Source organism: Homo sapiens, chromosome 5, assembly GCF_000001405.40.
Source record: "Homo sapiens chromosome 5, GRCh38.p14 Primary Assembly".
Taxonomy (NCBI): domain Eukaryota; kingdom Metazoa; phylum Chordata; class Mammalia; order Primates; family Hominidae; genus Homo; species Homo sapiens.
The window spans coordinates 6614354-6632372 of record NC_000005.10 but is presented as its reverse complement, the minus strand read 5'-3'; the positions used below and the strand labels follow the sequence as shown (position 1 = coordinate 6632372).

The following is an 18019-nucleotide window of genomic DNA, read 5'->3' as shown; positions in this document are numbered from 1 at the left end:
TCGGCTCCTGGGGAATCTTCCAGGAGGGAAGCTGAGGGTCTTACCTTTTGGAACGTAAGAGAATTTATAGAGAATGCATAAAACCCCTTGGTTCTCCCCTCCTCCGCGCCCCCCCTCCATCTTTGTAGTTACATCTTTCTAAATGAGTCGCAAGTAAAACTTAACGGTAGGATATGCTTAGGAGAGAAGGAATGCAGTGTTGCTCTTAGGGCTCAAACAGTGTGGATTGCTTAAATTTTGAAGGCATACAGTGTAAAAGTAGTGACTAAAGAATGTTTACTCTCCATGCAAAAGTTGGTTTTAGTTTTAAAACACTTGCAGTCTTAAATTTAAGAAGATACAATGTATTAACTTAGTTTTTTAGATCAGTTTGAAACTTCCTTATTTTTCAATAGCCACGCAAAAGAGATTCTCCATTGCTTAAAGAACAAATATTTTAAGGAATTGGAGGACCTGGAGGTGGACGGTCAGAAAGTTGAAGTTCCACAGCCACTGAGTTGGTAGGTACCACAGTGCTTCATGCCGAATATTTATTTGGGATATTAATCTCTATCACTTGAATTATATTTCTTGGTACTGCATTTGCTGTTAAAGAGCTTGGGTATACTTTGCAAACATCCTAATGTTCTAGTACCTGGTGCTTTTATCAACATTATATTGCTACGCAAGTTTTCATGCGATTTGCGATTTGCAGCTTTATGAGTCACTGATTTCAGCCAGCTCTTCCTAGTACATCCAGCCTCTTCCTTTATGTCACCACTTCCGCCAGCTCCCTTTTACAGCCCTTGTTTTCTCACATCAAAACTGTTGCAGAGTGGCTGCTTTGCCTTCAGAAAAAGGACAGACTTAGCTTGACAACAGTCTCCTGGTAGGTAGTCTCTTAGTGTTTTCCATTACAGACAGGTTACCACTGTCTGCTGTCAGGTTGTCTCCTGGTACTTCGCAGTACAGACTGCACCAGCCAATGTAGCATTTCCGAGTCTCAGCACCCAAGCGTGCTACTACTCTGGGAGCTACCTCTTTCTTGACCTGTCCTGGAGGTGCCTTCTGGGTTACCTATTCCTCATGGCTCGGTTCTAGTCTCAGTTGTATGAAGGTGATCCCTTGTGCTGATAGCATCTTGTAAAGATGCTTGGAGAACTCCGGAGGCGCCAGTCCTTCAGTTAACTTACATAAGTGGGAAAGTCGTTATTATTAACTTTGAGGTATTGAGTTCTCAGAAAAGTAATGCACGAAAAGGTGAATTAAGCCGTTTTTTGTTTGTCTGTTTGTTTGTTTGGAGACGGAGTCTCACTCTGTCGCCCAGGCTGGAGAGCAGTGGCACCATCTTGGCTCACTGCAAGCTCCACCTCCCTGGTTCACGCCATTCTCTTGTCTCAGCCTCCCGAGTAGCTGGGACTACAGGTGCCCGCCACCACGCCCGGCCAATTTTTTTGTATTTTTAGTGGAGACGGGTTTTTACCTTGCTAGCCAGGATGGTCTCATCTCCTGACCTCATGATCCGCCCACCTCGGCCTCCCAAAGTGCTGGGATTACAGGCGTGAGCCACTGCGCCCTGCCAAATTAAGCGTTTTGCATCAACTTTTGAGGTTTTGACTATTCCAGTACGTAGTGTTATCTTTCCTTTTTGGATAACCTTTAGTGTTCGCAAATCAAGGTCAGATTTTCATTAATCATGGGGTACAGATTTGCTTGTTTTTCTTTCATTGGCTATTTGGATTTTCATTGTCCCTATCACAGATAAGCATATACATTCACAATGAATGCTGACTGGCCAAACATTAAGTCAGTATTCAACCAGTATCAAGACCGAATATCACCATCATGGAATGTGTTGCTGGGATATAGGAATAAATATGACCAACATCGTGAAACCCTATCTCTACTAAAAATACAAAAATTAGACAGGCATGGTGGCACACGCCTGTAATCCCAGACACTAGGGAGGCTGAGGCATGAGAATCGCTTGAACCCAGGAGGTGGAGGTTGCAGTAAGCCAAGATCATGCCACTGCACTCCAGCCTGGGCCACAGAGCGAGACCATGTCTCAAAAAGGGAAAAAAGAATAGATATGCCACATCTTAGATTTTTAAAAGCTTGAAGGGTACAGTATAGGAAAATGATACGGGTGCTACGTTGCTGTTAGTGGTCACTAATTGTCCACTGTAGTGAGATCAGTGGAAAAGGTAGATGTTTTTCAGCCTCTAGTTATGGCATTGCTGAGATGAGGTAACCTTCACGAGATCAAGCTTTTCTTCCTCCTGGTAACTAGGTTGTAGACTTTGCTCAAGTCGTTTGGTTTGAAGATTTGATTGACGACACTGATTGTGTTGTACTTGAAGTAGAGGTCTGATACTGTAGTAGTCCATTTTCACACTGTTATAAGGACATACCTGAGTAATGTATAGATAAAGGAAATAGGCTTAATTGACTCACATTTCCACATCGCCGGGGAGGCCTCAGGAAGCTTAAAATCATGGCGGAAGATCTCTCTGCACAGGGTGGCAGGAGAGAGAATGAGTGCTGAGCAAAGGAAGAAGCCCCTAATAAACCATCAGATCTCCCCCTGAGAACGAACTCACTGTTGTGAGAACAACATGAGGGAAACGGCCCGGGGATTTAATTATCTCCACCTCGTCCTGCCCTTGACACGTGGGGAATATTACAATTCAAGGTGAAATTGGGGTGGGAACACAGAGCCAAACCATCTAAAATATTTTAAGAAGACAGGATTACGATTCTCCTCGGGCATGTTTGTATTTTTAGCAGTGATGCATGTATGTGCTGCTTCACACAATCACCTGGAAACATTTGTTTCTAAAACCTTGTGTTTAGAAGCGCAGAGACGGGATAAGAAATGCTTTTAAGATGAAGAAGTTCCTGTCCAGGAGGAACGTTTCAGCATGTGTCTATAGGGAAGAGGTGTGCTCTTAAGGCACCTCCATGTGGGCATTTTCTTCTGCAGGCTCCAACAAACTAGGAGAAACCATACGATGTCAATAAGGCTTGCTAGTTTTTTATTATTCTCTGCAAACTACAGTTACACTTGGATTTGATCAGCCCTTTTAACATTTCATAGCTGCTTTTCCACCTTGTTTAACAATGTGTCTGGGTATATGACAAGGTAATTACCAAACTCTTAGAATCTGCAGGTTGTCTGTAGTTGAAGAATGAAGGTGAATTGCTCTCTGCCAACAGCCAGCTATGTTTTTGTTTGCTTTAATTTTCTGAACACACAGCTGAAGGGTATGAACAAAACATTGTAGATCTGGGTTTCTAATATTTGGCTTTTTCCATTATCAATGATGGTTTCTCTATATTTTATTTTGAGACAGGGTCTCACTCTGTCACCCAGGCTGGAGTGCAGTGATGTCATGACGGTTCACTGCAGCCTTGACCTCCTAGGCTCAAGTGATCCTCCCACCTCAGCCTCCTGAGTAGCTCGGACTACAGGTGCATGCCACCACGCCTGGCTAATTTTTTTTATTTTTTTGTAGAGATGGAGTTTCACCTTGTTGCCCAGGCTGGTCTTGCATTCCAGGGCTCAAGCAATCTTCCTGCCTTGGTTTCCCAAAGTGCTGGGATTACAGACATGAGCCACCATTCCTGGCCAATGCCAGTTTCTTGGCAGCTGTATTCTCTAAACATTTATTTATTCAAATTCATCTGTCAGTTTTAGGGTACTAAATCTCTCAGCAAGCAAGTAAAGCAGAAGCTTTCCAGGACTTCTGGTAATTTTCTGTATTGCTCAAGATGCAGGAATAGATCATGTAATATTCTTCCCAATCCTCTGGTACATAGTGAAATATAATTTAGGAAAACGTTTTTTGAAATTACATTTTCTAGAAGGAAAGTTATGTATAGGACCATAGCTTGGGCCAGTTTCATTTTTTTCTTACTTTCCATAGACTCAGAACAATGAGAAATTATCCTAAAGCATTCTTATAGAAGCATTGTTTTGACAACCAATTGTTCAGAGTGCACCTTATTATCATTCTATTTATGTGCTGTTTACTTATATTTTTTTTTGAGACAAGGTCTCTGTTGCCCAGGTTGGAGTGCAGTGGCATGATCTCAGCTCACTGCAACCTCCACCTCCTGGGCTCAGGTGATCCTCCCACCTCAGCGTCCCAGGTAGCTGGGATTACATGCCCCCATCACCATACCCAGCTATTTTTTCTATTTTTTGTACAGTTGGGGTTTTGCCATGTTGGACAGGCTAGTCTTGAACTCCTGACCTCAAGTGATCCGCCCACCTTGGTCTCCCAAAGTGCTGGTGTTACAGGCATGAGCCACTGCACCTCGCCTGTTACGTGCTTTTTAATGTCTAGATTGAGGATGGTTTGTCATAGATGTTGTATATATTTACAGAGTCCTTACCACTTGAGAATTTTTAATATGCAAAGATGACAGTGGTCCTTTTAACTTATCCTCTAAAAAGCCCAAATAGGATTTTTTCTTAAAAGACACAAGCTAAATTTGAAGTAAGTAACTAAAAATTAAATATACCTCTCATTTTGTTTGATGTTAAAATCTACAAAGATTTAATAAACATTTTTTGGTTCATAAAAAGATGATGCTGTTCCTAAAGCTGTATAAGAAACATAATTTAAAAACATTTCTTGTAGAAACAGGGCCTCGCTTTGTTGCCCAGGCTGTTCTCTGTACCCAGAGGAAATAAACATTTATCTGTTAGTTTCTGTTTGTATTTAAATATTTCAGAGTTCCTAAATGTTTCTTTACATGAGATCAACAGCCTTCACAATTATAAATACTGTAGAATTTTAATCTTGTAATAGTACGTTTACATTTTGACTATCAGAAATTTGACGAAAAAGACATATAAGGCTATATTTGTTCAAAGTATATCTAGACTGCTTATCTATATTTGAAAATGAAAATTCAGCTCTTTACAATAAGTCTAAATGGCATGTGGTGTTCATATTGATGTCTTAGTGATTTGGTAAGGCAATAACTTACATGATCGTACTAGCTTTGAGACAGACAAGTTCAGGAAGACCAGATACTATATGAGCTGGCATTTGGCTGTTTGCAAGTAGAGGTTACAGTGGCACAGCAGATATTTGCCCAATACTATAGCAAATGCCAAATTTGCATGTAACCTACTATTTCGCCTCTAATGAGTCCAAAAGATTATTTAAAACAATTCTTTTTAAAATTGCCTTATGAATATGATTTTCTTTTGGCTTTATATTTTTGAACACATTAAATGTCGAGGAGGGAACTGGGCTATATGAGATAGAATCAAAGCGCTGGGGACCTTTGGAGGGTGGCCGTGGACAGATTCAGCCAGTTTCGTCTTCATTATTTGGTAGAAAATGCTTTTCAGGTATATTTTGTAATATTTTGACTTGAGCAGTGTCGGGCTTTTAAGTCCTGAGTTTGTTTCCATCAAAAAATCAGAGTTTAAAAGCAGTCAAATGTGTTTGTGTTTTCCAGACATTCCAGTTTTATTTTCATGGTTTTCACTCTAGCTACAATTTGACGCATGGAAACATTGTGAGCCTGCATTGTTAAATTGAGTGTATTACTGCATCTCAGGTTTAGTGAGAATTGCTGAAACTACACTAAGATTTATGGCCGTGTGACGTGGTACACTTGGTTTGGCATTGGATTGAGCATGGTGCTGCATGACATCAGTGTGCTCATTTGTACGGTGCAGATGCCTGTATAGGTGCAGGCCAAGTTTCAAAGCACATCCTGGGTGGGGTACAGTGGCTCATGCCTGTAATCCCAACACTTTGGGAGACTGATGCGGCCGGATCACTCGAGGCCAGGAGTTCGAGACCAAGCTGGCCAACACGGCAAAACCACATCTCTACTGAAAATACACGTCTGTAATCCCAGCTACTCAGGTGGCTGACTGAGGCATGAGAATTACTTGAATCCAGGAGGCAGAAGTCACAGTGAGCTGAGATTACACCACTACACTCCAGCCTAGGTGACAGTGAGACTGTCTCAAAAAAAAAAAGGCAGTGTTTTTAGTATCCCCCATTTCTCCCCTAATTAAAAAAAATAAAAAAAATAAAAATAACATTGATGTCATCATTTATAGAAAGTTCAAATATATTCACAGATATGATGGCAGGAAATGCTTTATTCTTAGTTATATATAGGTAACAGCCTAGGAGCTCAAGTTAATGCATTAGTGGTTTCCAAGGTAGGATTTTTTTGGTATGTAAAATATTTTAGTGCATTATTGAACTGGTGTTAGAAATAATGAAAAATATATTTTTTAAAAAACTAATCAGGTATTTGTGGGACACTCTGACACTGCATTATTTTGATTCTGTGTGATCTGCACATTAAGTAAGTCATCTTGTATCTTTTTTTTCTGATGACCTTACCATTGTTACCTTATAATGGTGAAGAGCAGAGGAGTGTCCGCTTTTTCATCTGATCTCGAGCGTTTCATCATTATAATTTTACAGTAATATGCATAATCTTGTAACCCCCATGGCTCTCCTGTTTCTGATTGGGCCACGGTGTAGCTAGAGCCATGTTCCTTAAGCCTACAGCGACATCTCTGAGTGTTGCTGACTGTCCGTAGAGGATTGTGAATAGGAGCAGGGAGAACAACATTCGAAGTCTCATTTGGCATGCGACTGATAGAAGCACAAAGTTGTCAACAGACGACTTTAGTATTTATAATCCATAAATGTTTTGCTTTCTTTTTGGTCAGGTATCCTGAAGAACTTGCCTGGCACACAAATTTAAGTCGAAAAATCTTGAGAAAATCGCCACACTTGGAAAAGTTTCATCAGTTTCTAGTTAGTGAAACAGAATCTGTAAGTTGATTTCTTTAGACTTGCTAGTTTCCTTAAAGCTGTAAATGCATAGATGTAGTGTAGTTCTGTTTTTAGGTTCTTGTCACTAGAAGCAGTAGGTGGACATCACACACAGTAAAGACAACTGCAGTGTGTGCACCACCTGTGATTTCTGATTATTTGTATATCCGTTGCCTTGTTTGGTTTATCTAGTCATGAAATTTAGTAAGGATATCGATGCCAGCTAGTTAATTTCTTGTTTCCTCTTGCTTGTGTATTTGGATGGCTATAGGGTTGGGGTGAGCACTGCACTCTCATTTCCTTCTTAGGTACACATTTCAGATGCCTGTTGTACATAAAAAGTAGTATGTTTTTAAGGCCATCTTGGTAGGGAATAGGTTTTTGGTTCTGTTTTTTAAAATTGATTTATTTTACTAAAAATGAAGCTTTTGATTTTACTTTTTACTGTGTTTTTTTTTTTTCTTACCACACATTGCTCTTGGTAACCACAAAACACCTAAGCACCACAAAACCCCTAAGCACAGCTTTGGTCCTCACAGGACGGCATCTGTCTTCACATTCTCCGTAGCCACCCACATTCCTTGAGTGCAGTTAAGGTGCTGAGCTTTTTACCTTTAGCATCAGAGCATCCCCAGCAAAACAGCTATTTGCTTATGTACTAAATAATTCAATGAATGCCCATAAAGTTTGGGTATTTTTTTTGGAATTCTTAGTCTCACATTTAAAATCAGAGGTTTCGTCCTTCCTATTTTCTAAACTACTACCTTCTAGTAAATCTGTGTGTCACCAGATTATGGTTCTTTTTCACTTTGGCCTTCTGTCATCTAAGTAACCGACTAAACTGGGCTTGTGTCTGCCTGGCTTTTCCTTCCTGAATAGTAACAAGAACCAGGAACTAAGTGCTGCCACATAACCCCATTTCGTACTTGAGACCAGTGCACGAAAGGATTCTCTTGCTCAACTTTCAATCTAGATGGAAGGCCAAATAGAGATCAGTAAGCTGCTAGAGAACAGCTCAGGTTTGCACTTGGAAGAGAGCGTGGGGTTTGTGGGGTGTGATACACATGGATAGGTTGGAAGAGCCAGGTTTTGGCATGTTTGGAAGATGGAGGAGATGGGAGTTTAGGGTGGGTAGCAAATGTTGTAGGGAACTAGTATAGGTTTTTGATTAGGAGTCAGCGTGATGAGAGCTCTTGAGATGAATGGCAATAACCTCTGGGTTATGGAAAGCTGGCCACAAAACATCTACACAGGGTGGTCATGAATCTGGTTACTGTCTGCCGGGATGTCCCCATCTTACTTAATGCTTTAATCAAAACCTTGGATGGATACAGAAGGCAGGCATATCAGGATCACACGTATAACTCAAAAGCTTGGAATCAGTGTGCCTAGTGAGTGAATCACCACAGACTCATGCTGGCCAGAAACCCATGAGGTGAAAATTAGCAGCCATCAGTGTAAAAGCCTGTATTTAAGGCTCTTGACAGTCACATGCCTGAGTTTAAGGTGAGTGATGGATGCCTGGGTGGCTGTTCATTTCCAGAAGTCCCAGCTTTTGTAGGGTTGTGTTGGAGCAGAAGCCTCAGCTTCAAGGCGATTAAAGTAGAGGTGTGGTTGAGGCTAGTGCTGGGCAGGGCAGGAGGATTTTGTCTGCACCTGAATAGTTCTGCCTTGTAACAGATGTCCTGGCCGACTAGAGAAGACAGAGGGCAGGGAGTGTGGTGAGGAATTTTAGATATTGAAGGTCTAAAGATGGAAAGATGGAAGCAGTGGTTGATGTCTTCATCTCTTTGAAAGGTAGTTATGAGAAATAGAAAGTGGGCATGGGCTATGTCTGAAAATAGTGGAGGACTAAGAAATAGAATTTTAGGCAAGAAGGAAAAACCATTTGACAGTCACTTTCTGTCCTAAGTTGATGCTGTCTGTTGAAGGTATTTGTTTAAATATTTAATAGCATTTCTGTCTTTGAGAGCTGCCCCTCTAGCTTCTGTGCTCTACTGCTATGGGGAGTTGGGGCTCTGTAAGCTTCAAGTCCCTTTTCTTTCATGGAAGTTGGTATTATACCTGAATTTCTAATATTTGAATGGTATAGCAACCATTTGTCCGCTAGTGTACAGATCCATCTCATTTAGTGTTCTGTGTGATAGTATGAGTTCTCTCATTCTGTATAAGATTATGTGCTGTTTTCCTGTTGCCTTTGAAACAATGCCAAAGATTGAAATTGTCTGCGGTTTTTTTTTTTTTCCTAATTGTTGCTGATTTTTTTTTTTTCCTCAAGGGAAATATTAGTCGTCAAGAAGCTGTTAGCATGATCCCACCACTGCTCCTCAACGTGCGGCCTCATCATAAGGTAGCATATAGCAACTAGAAACGTGGGGGCGGGCAGCTTGTTACCAGTGTCATGCCTGTTTGTTTTGATGAAACCATTTTTTCTTAATATAATTAGTCCTTTTTTTCTTCTTTTCACTTTGGATAGAGAGTGATATGTACGTATCTTAGTTTCTTTTTTTTTTTTTTTTCTTTTTTGTCCTACTTAATTTTTATGGTTTAGAAAATTTTCTCCCCTTTAGTTTTACTGATTTGTTTACCATATGGATTGTCTTCAGTGATGGTGATTGGCTAAATTAGGTTGAAAATGATAGTGAACATGTATTGAGAGCTCATTGTATGGCAAGCATTACTCTGTGCTCTTTTTTCTTTTCTTTTTTTTTTTTTTGAGATGGAGTTTCACTCTTGTTGTCCAGGCTGGAGTGCAGTGGCGCGATCTTGGCTCACTGCAACCTCCGCCTCCTGAGTTCAGGCAATTCTCCTGCCTCAGTCTCCCAAGTAGCCGGGATTACAGGTGCGCACCACCACACCCTGCTAATTTTGTATTTTTAGTAGAGACGGGGTTTCTCCATGTTGGTCAGGCTGGTCTCGAACTCCCGACCTCAGGCGATCCGCCTGCCTTGGCCTTCCAAAGTGCTGGGATTACAGGTGTGAGCCACTGTGCCTGGCCTTGCTCTGTGTTTTTTAGGTGAATTAGTTGGCTTTATCATTCACACAACCCTCTAAGGGCAGATACTGTCACCATCTCCATTTTTCCAGATGAGGAAAAGGAAGCAAGGAGAAGTACTTGAACTGAGGTTACGGAGCTGTTAACTGGCTGAGCTGAGATTTGAGTCTAGGTAGCTCTGTTCCTTAGCATTATGTTTTCATGATTCTTACTTGTTCATCTCTATATTTAGTCTCTCTGGCTTACAGTTTCATTCTCCTCCCATCCTCTTTGGAGACTGTACCTATATCATTCTGTGATTTTGGGGCAGTGTAGAATCCCTAAAAGTAAATTATGTCATGCTATAGACTCTGTAAAGAAGTATATTTAGATCTTGGACTAGAAATTGAAAAACTAGAATTGCTTTAAATTAAATGTAGAATATTTGGTTTTTTAAAAACATGAAACAGTTTCTTGCTTTGTTAATAGATCTTAGATATGTGTGCAGCACCTGGCTCAAAGACCACACAGTTAATTGAAATGCTACATGCCGACATGAATGTCCCCTTTCCAGGTATGCATTGGACTTGTGTTCAAAATGGTAGGAATGCCACTTTGGCAGATTGTAGACAAGGAAAAGACTCTAACTTTGCCTGCTAATTTGGCTCTAAAGTCTCCTATGACAAGCAGTTGGGTTTTCCGTCTACCGGAAGTAGAACTGGACATCTTGCCTACCACCGTCAGTAGTACTCAAACAAACACACTCATACCATGGGGGAGCTTTATTTTAGAATTATGTGTGTTTTCTATAAAAACGAATGGCATTTCTTTTTTTTTTTTTTGAGATGGAGTCTCACTCTGTTGCCCAGGCTGGAGTGCAGTGGCGTGATGTTGGCTCACTGCAAGTTCCACCTCCTGGGTTCACGCCATTCTCCTGCCTCAGCCTCTCGAGTAGCTGGGACTACAGGTGCCCGCCACCATGCCCGGGTAATTTTTTGTATTTTTAGTAGAGACGGGGTTTCACCATGTTAGCCAGGATGGTCTCGATCTCCTGACCTCGTGATCCGCCCGCCTTGGCCTCCCAAAGTGCTGGGATTACAGGTGTGAGCCACCACGCCCGGCTGCAGATGGTGTTTCTTTATCAAGCCTACTTACAGAAGATAGATTTCACTGTTTGAATTTTTAGTAACAATTTCCCCTTTCCCCCACCTTTGTTCATTATTATTACTATTATTATTATTATTATTACTTACTGCCTTACATGAAGGGTAGTAGTGTGTAGTTAAAAGCTACCATCAGACTCCCTGGGTTCAAATCCTAATCGGCAAGTTACTTACAGTGTTAGACATCCCATGTGAAATGGGACGAATCAGTATGTAGCTTGCGAGGTGCTCAGGAAATGTTAGCTGTTATAGTGACACCACGCCCCTTTCTCTTAAGTGGAAACAAATACCCATCGTGATGTTTTAGAGTCAGCTTTCATCTCGTCCTATCTTTGTTCAGGCAAACTTCTCTAGTTCTGTTTTAATAGGCATATTTGTTAGGTCTGTTTTTTGAAATCCTCTTTTTTACATTGTTTAAAGATAATGCCTTGGCTAAAAAGCCTGCTTCACTTTTCCCTGTTTTTAGTTGTTTTCTCCACATTGGCAGTAAAGAGCCTTGGCGTCCCAGTAGCAGCAGGTTCTCCTTTTTGTATTGTGGATGTTTTGCATTTCATACTGTTGTGAAGAGTGGCTTTGATCATACATGTTGTTGGTATATTTGCCTTTTTGCTGGGGGTGTGAGAAGAACCAGAGATGAGCAGAGGTACACCCAGTAGACTTCCCAGCCTGCAGAGCCTCCCGGGAAGAGCTTCCGTGTTCAGGTGCTTGGGGCCCCACCCTAGGAGCCTGACTCACAGTCAGAGCAGGGTCCCGGCTTGTGTTCAGGATTTTGAAACATTTGTAAGGTGATTTTGTTGTTTCTACACCTTTCTCCTCATCTTTTTTTTTTGTAGTTAATCGTTACTAATAACAGAAAAGACATTTTTGGCATGGTAATTGGCACAAAGTGAATAATTGTTGAATAGATGACTTTTGAGGCTTTCAAAATTCGAGTGTCCATAAAATCCATCCAGAGCCACCTGGTTCCTTTTTTTGAACCACTTAACGTAATTCTGGAAAACCTTGACTGTGGGTCTTAAGTTTGGTGGATTGCTGCTTCTCACTGGCTGACCTTTGGAGGTCGCATATTTCAGGATGTGATTCCACTTAGGCTCCATTTCACCTGACACTGCAATTCTGTGCCTTCAGAGGGATTTGTTATTGCGAATGATGTGGACAACAAGCGCTGCTACCTGCTCGTCCATCAAGCCAAGAGGCTGAGCAGCCCCTGCATCATGGTGGTCAACCATGATGCCTCCAGCATACCCAGGCTCCAGATAGATGTGGACGGCAGGAAAGAGATCCTCTTCTATGATCGAATTTTATGTGATGTCCCTTGCAGGTATTTATCTTATTGGCCAAAAAGCCCAAATCCACTAAAGAAATCAAGTCAAATAGAGACTAAAATGAAGTTGTGCATGAATATGACACAATTGTACATAAGTCTTGGGGTGCGGAGAAAGATAGCGTGAGCCTAAACCAAAAGATGGACACGTAGATACGTCTTAATGAGAAGCAGCACAGCAGATGCTGGATAAAGAACAGAAAGGGGTGGTTGCAATAGCCTGCAGAAAGATAAAGAGAAAACAAAACAAAACAGAGAAAATACGTAAGAGGAAAATAGAATCGTAGACTCTTATTGTGGTGTGTTTTAGGATGTTATTGCTTGGAACAATTTGTGCACCCCAACTATTTTGTATTAGTTCTTCCAGTGAGTACAGTATATAAAAAACTTTGTCATAAAATAATACGTAATCACATTGGATTTTATGTTATTTAGTTGAATGAAAGAAATTTCGGAGTTCAAGCCCTTAAGAAATTCATTTTGCTTGTGTTTTTATACCTTTCTTGAGATAATACATCAACATTTTAGATATTTAGAGTTTAGATATAAAATAATACTCATGGTATAACTGAGTAACAAGTTTTTTTAAAAGGAAAGAAACAAAACTAAAGACATCATCTGTTCCGTTCCCATAGGAGGTGCACGGATGATGATCCCAGGTGATAATGACTTCTGAATGACATAAGTTTGTCAAGACCAGAATTCAAAAGCTGCCACAAAACTTGTTAGCACAGAATGCAAGCTTTAGATACGATACCACATTATGGAAGAATGCCATTTTGTTTCAGTAAGTGGCAGAGTTACTGCTCATGGCAAAACTCAGTATGAAACTTGCAGCTGGTGGCTCTGAATATAGCTGAGTGTTAAAATAATCTGGAAAAAGCCCTCTTTAAAGTAAAATTTAAAATACATCATGAACTAAAGTTTTTTTTTCCTCTAGGTTGCAATTTTTCAGTATTCCTTGGGGTCTCATGTTTTCCTACCCCTGTTTTTTGATCAGAAAGATAACTCGTTCCTTGTATCATATTCTGAGATCTGAGAACGCAGTGACCTTATGAGCAAGAGGTTGCAAGCTGGGGAAATTTCTGAAATTGTGGTGGGATTTCTACCATGCAAACAACTAGTGTACAGCCAGGAATGCCATTGCAAAGTGGGGATTACATCTCATGGGATAATTCCATCCTGCAGACCTAGTCCCTCGTGTACACGCGGCTAGACCATCAAGGAAAATCAGCATTTACAGAGAAAGCCAACAAAAACAGGCGTTACCTTCTGGGAAAACAGGGCAGATAAAATTAGACACAGAAAGTAACAAATCCAGTCTTTACTATAAAATATACATGGAAAGAGCTTCCATTAACAAAAACATGAAAATAACTTCCATTAAATAAAAGTAGAAAGTCAGAAATTTAACGGTGATTGTAAGAAAAATTTAGCTATTAGTAAGAAAAATTTAGCTATTATATTAGCTTAATTGAAATTACTATGGAAAATTTATTAGTCATTATTCATATAATTCTGATTAAAATGCCATTGTTGATTAACTGAGTTTTTCAATAGTATTTTAGGTTCTGAAAAACATGAAAATAACTTCCATTAAATAAAAGTAGAAAGTCAGAAATGTTTACCTGTGATTGTAGGAAAAATTTAGCTAATATATTAGCTTAACTGTGGAAAATTTCTTATTAGTCATTATTCATGTAATTCTGATTAAAGTGTCATTGTTGATTAACTGAGATTTTCAATAGTATTTTAGGTTCTGTGTCCTAGGTCTGCAAATTAGTCTTGCTAGTGTTTTTTCCAAATGGAAGCACATTAATATCTCCTTAGTGAATGGAGTTTACTGTTCAAATCCATTATTTTCTGCTTGAAAATTGAAGTATAATTTAAAACTATAATACATTAGAAAATCCCTAAAACAAAAGCTGAAAGCAGATTGCAGTTGGTGAAAATGGAGATTGTTTCCTAACTGATATTTGTAACACTTGTTTTGTAACTTAGCTTGTATGTGACATATCTGTTAAAGTGCAGTCATCCACCTGTAGGGAGCTTTGCACTCATAAATATCTTTTTTCCAGTGGAGACGGCACTATGAGAAAAAACATTGATGTTTGGAAAAAGTGGACCACCTTAAATAGCTTGCAGCTACATGGGTAAGTAAAACTTCATCACTGCTAACACTGTGTGACAAGTAGATCAGCAGAGATTTATTGTTATGCAAGTGAGCATCCGATCTTTAATTAGAGAGCTGTAAGCATCAGAGGATGGTCAATGGCCACCTTCAACTGTTTTATCAGAAGTTATTTGAAAACCTTTCAAGAGCAATAACTGCAAATTGTATACATTTCAGATAACACGTTTATTAAAAATGCCTTCTATAAAAATTTCTTGCAACACTTCAGATATGTATTTTTCCATGAAATGACCGTTTACCTCTTGATGTATGCATTACTAATCTTTTCTCTCTGTTTTTGTTCTTTTGTATCATCGTTTTGCTAAGAGACATTTTGATCTCTTAGAAATATTTTTCGGTTGGCTTTTTATGATGGGGAACTATTCATTAAAGAACAATTGGAAAATTCTTAAAGAGAAATCTCATAACACGATGATCACGTCTGTTAATGTTTGGTGTGTTGTATTGTTTTTCTGTTTACAGGGATTTTTTAAGTACTTTTTCCAAATACTTTTGATCATGCTGTCTGTAGAGCAGTGTATTCTTTTTTTCATTTGACATGACAAATGCCATGGTCTTGCATGCAGGACTGTACTGTGCCTGAGCCACAGAATACTAATTAGCATCCACCACAACCAACTATAGCAGGAGGCCTCGTCTCCATAAAATACTGTCTACTGTTTTGTGACACAGAGACAAGAGTTAGGACTGGAATGTATGATACCAATTTTTCATAGAAAAACCACATATTTAGGAAGTATGGAGGTTTTTTAAATAGTGAAATTTCATCTAATACATTGAATTCTGTTGTTACTGAACTTTATACTCTGCTGGTTGACATATTGGGAAAGGTTAACAGAGCAGTAAGAATATTTATATAATACATTTTTTTTATTAACATGAAACACTTTATATAAGTTTACTCTAACTTCATTTAGATCCCTGGAAGGTTTTTTTTAAGTATAATTGTGTTATAAAAGCTTGTAATGAATATGTGACATAAGGAGGTGCTTCTAATATGTGCACTTCATGGATACATTTGGCCTTGCAGTCATCTGATATCTCCCCTTAGCTTACAGCTGCGGATTGCAACACGCGGGGCTGAACAGCTGGCTGAAGGTGGAAGGATGGTGTATTCCACGTGTTCACTAAACCCTATTGAGGATGAAGCAGTCATAGCATCTTTACTGGAAAAAAGTGAAGGTAAGCACGCTTGATGGATCTTTTATTAACAGCATAGGGGGCTTTTCATATGTGTATGGTACAATACACATAACGTGAGGTTTACCATCTTAATCATTTTTGAGCCTGCAGTTCAGTCCCGTTAGGTATATTCCCATTGTTAATCACCACCACCATCCATCTCCAGAAATCTTCACCTTGCAAAACTGAAACTCTGAACTCCTTTAAACAGTAGCTCCCATCTCTCTCTTCCCTGCCCCTCACACCACCGTTCTATTTTTTGTCTGTATGACTTTGACTACTCTAGACCTCACAGAAGCGGAATCATACTGTATTTGTCTTTTCGTGACTGGCTTATTTAACTTACTGCAGCGTCCTTGAGGCTCACTTGTGTTGTTGTCTGTGTCAAAATTGCATTGCTTATTAAGGCTGAACACTATTCTGTTGTTTATATAAACCGCATTTTGTTTACCCATCCATCTGTTGATGGACATCTGGGTTTCTTCCACTTTTTGGCTGTTGTGAGCCATGCTGCTGTGAGCATGGTATACAAATACCTCTCCAAGATCCTGGTTACGATTCTTTGGATATACACTCAGAAGTTGAATGGCTGGATCATATGATCATATAGTAATTCTGTGTTTAATTTTGGGGGGACCCCACCATGCTTTTTTTCACAGTGGCTGCGTCATTTTGTATTTCTACCCCCAGTGCACAAGGGTTCCAATTTCTCTACACATTCAGGGACACTTATTATCTGGGGCTCTTTGTTGTTAGTAGCCATCCTAATGGGTGTGAGGTCACCTCATACAGTTTTATACTGAGGAACTGACAGATAGTACAGAATATTCTGAAACAGTAGTGTATTTCTACAGTGTATTGATATAAAATATTTCTCCTTTTATGTTTTGCCAGAATGTTAACTTTTCCCATCATATTTTCCTTAGAGCCAATAATGAGAAATTTCAAACTTAGCATGTTTCCTGCACCCACGTGTGTGAAGTCAGTTGGTGCATAGTCAGTGAGAGAGGCCTTTCCTGGGCAGTGCCCACCTGCTGCTGTCCTTCCAGTGAGGCTCCCCTTGGCGGCTGGCTGGTCTGGGTTGTGCCCTCAGCCCTGCGGTTGTTGATGGCCTTCACGGTCCTTTAAGCTGGAATGTAATGTTGTGTTTATTTTCCTGTGCTCATGTAGACCTCTGTAAAGATGTCATTTCTGGGTGATGTTTTCTTGCATGGTCATAATTGCCATGGTGTTGGTGATACTTTATTCCAAAAGGTGTGTGAGGGGGAGTATGGGGCACATAATAGTTTAGTTGTAATGAAATTACACCTTCAAGTGTGATTTGGGGTCAGTTGTTAGGACTGTTGAATCCTGCTCAGATTTTTGTGTTCATTAGCTAGGAATTTAGGAAACCATGATTCCAGGCAGCTTGAGCAGCACAGACACCTCCTGTTTCCCTTGCCACAGTCTGCTTTCAGATCCCTGAGAAAGAAAATGGACTGCATTTATTAATTTGCATGCCTAGTTGCCATTTACGACTCAGACTTGAGGGTGGGCCCCAGTTCCTGGGCGCACTCACTGCATTCTTGGCTGGTGCTCTTTGTCTTTTGTAAAGACAGCTTCCCCCGGTTTCTCGGTGAGCAGCTTTCTTGACTTGGGGTGAGTGGTCACAGCCCCATCTTGTGCTGCTTAGCTTCAAATGTTTGTAGATTCTTTAAGCATTTGCTACTCTCCTAAGTCTGTGTTGGCTAGTTAAGTACTCTAGGTGTTTAATTTTGCTCCTTTTTCTCTTGTAAGCTTTTGGCTGGGACCAAAAGCCAGGTCTCCTGAGTTCTTAGGTGAGAGAGGCTCTTGTCCACACAAGCCTGTCCTCACTCGTGGCTGGAGTCACTCTTTGCAGGCAGGACTTGCTGGCCTGAGTCCACCGGGCTTTCTTTCCTCACATTGGAGATACTTGCTGTTTGCCTGTCTCATTACCGCAAAATTGTCCCCGCTCAGAGAACATGCTGTGTGCTCTGTGGGCTGGCTGTGCTGTCAGACCGGGTTACTTGCCTGGAGCTCTGGATGCTTCTGCCACCCTCACCCATTTCCTGAACGTGCCAACGTTTGAAGGAGTGGCTTCGTGAGGGGTTGTCATCTGAAAGCAGGTTGAATCCAAGTTCTAGTTCTCATTCCCATGGGTCTCTCTTTCCAGCAGCAGTGGGGAACCATCATTCTCCTGAAAACCCACTGATCTCTAAGGGAAGAGTGGACAGAACCTCACACACAGTGCACCATGTTCGAAAGTTAAGAATGAGCAAGCGTGACCCAGGCACGGGGGAGTGAGGAAGAGCTGCAGGGTGAAAAAGAAAACGGGAATGCTGGTGATCAGGATTGTGAGGAGGGATGAGCAGA

General features: G+C 40.5%; 1 protein-coding gene across 3 annotated transcripts in view; it reads left to right on the top strand.

The window, feature by feature from the left end:
• NSUN2 (NOP2/Sun RNA methyltransferase 2) overlaps positions 1 to 18019 on the top strand; it is a 33806-nt gene that overhangs the window by 672 nt on the left and 15115 nt on the right. The window contains exons 3-9 of one of the 3 annotated variants that reach the window (NM_017755.6): positions 396 to 500; positions 6704 to 6809; positions 9088 to 9159; positions 10273 to 10357; positions 12075 to 12267; positions 14349 to 14423; positions 15516 to 15646. In NM_017755.6, the coding sequence (NP_060225.4) occupies positions 396 to 500; positions 6704 to 6809; positions 9088 to 9159; positions 10273 to 10357; positions 12075 to 12267; positions 14349 to 14423; positions 15516 to 15646 (767 nt within the window). The remainder of the gene's footprint in view (positions 1 to 395; positions 501 to 6703; positions 6810 to 9087; positions 9160 to 10272; positions 10358 to 12074; positions 12268 to 14348; positions 14424 to 15515; positions 15647 to 18019) is intronic. The other 2 variants (NR_037947.2, NM_001193455.2) reach the window with 2 other exon arrangements.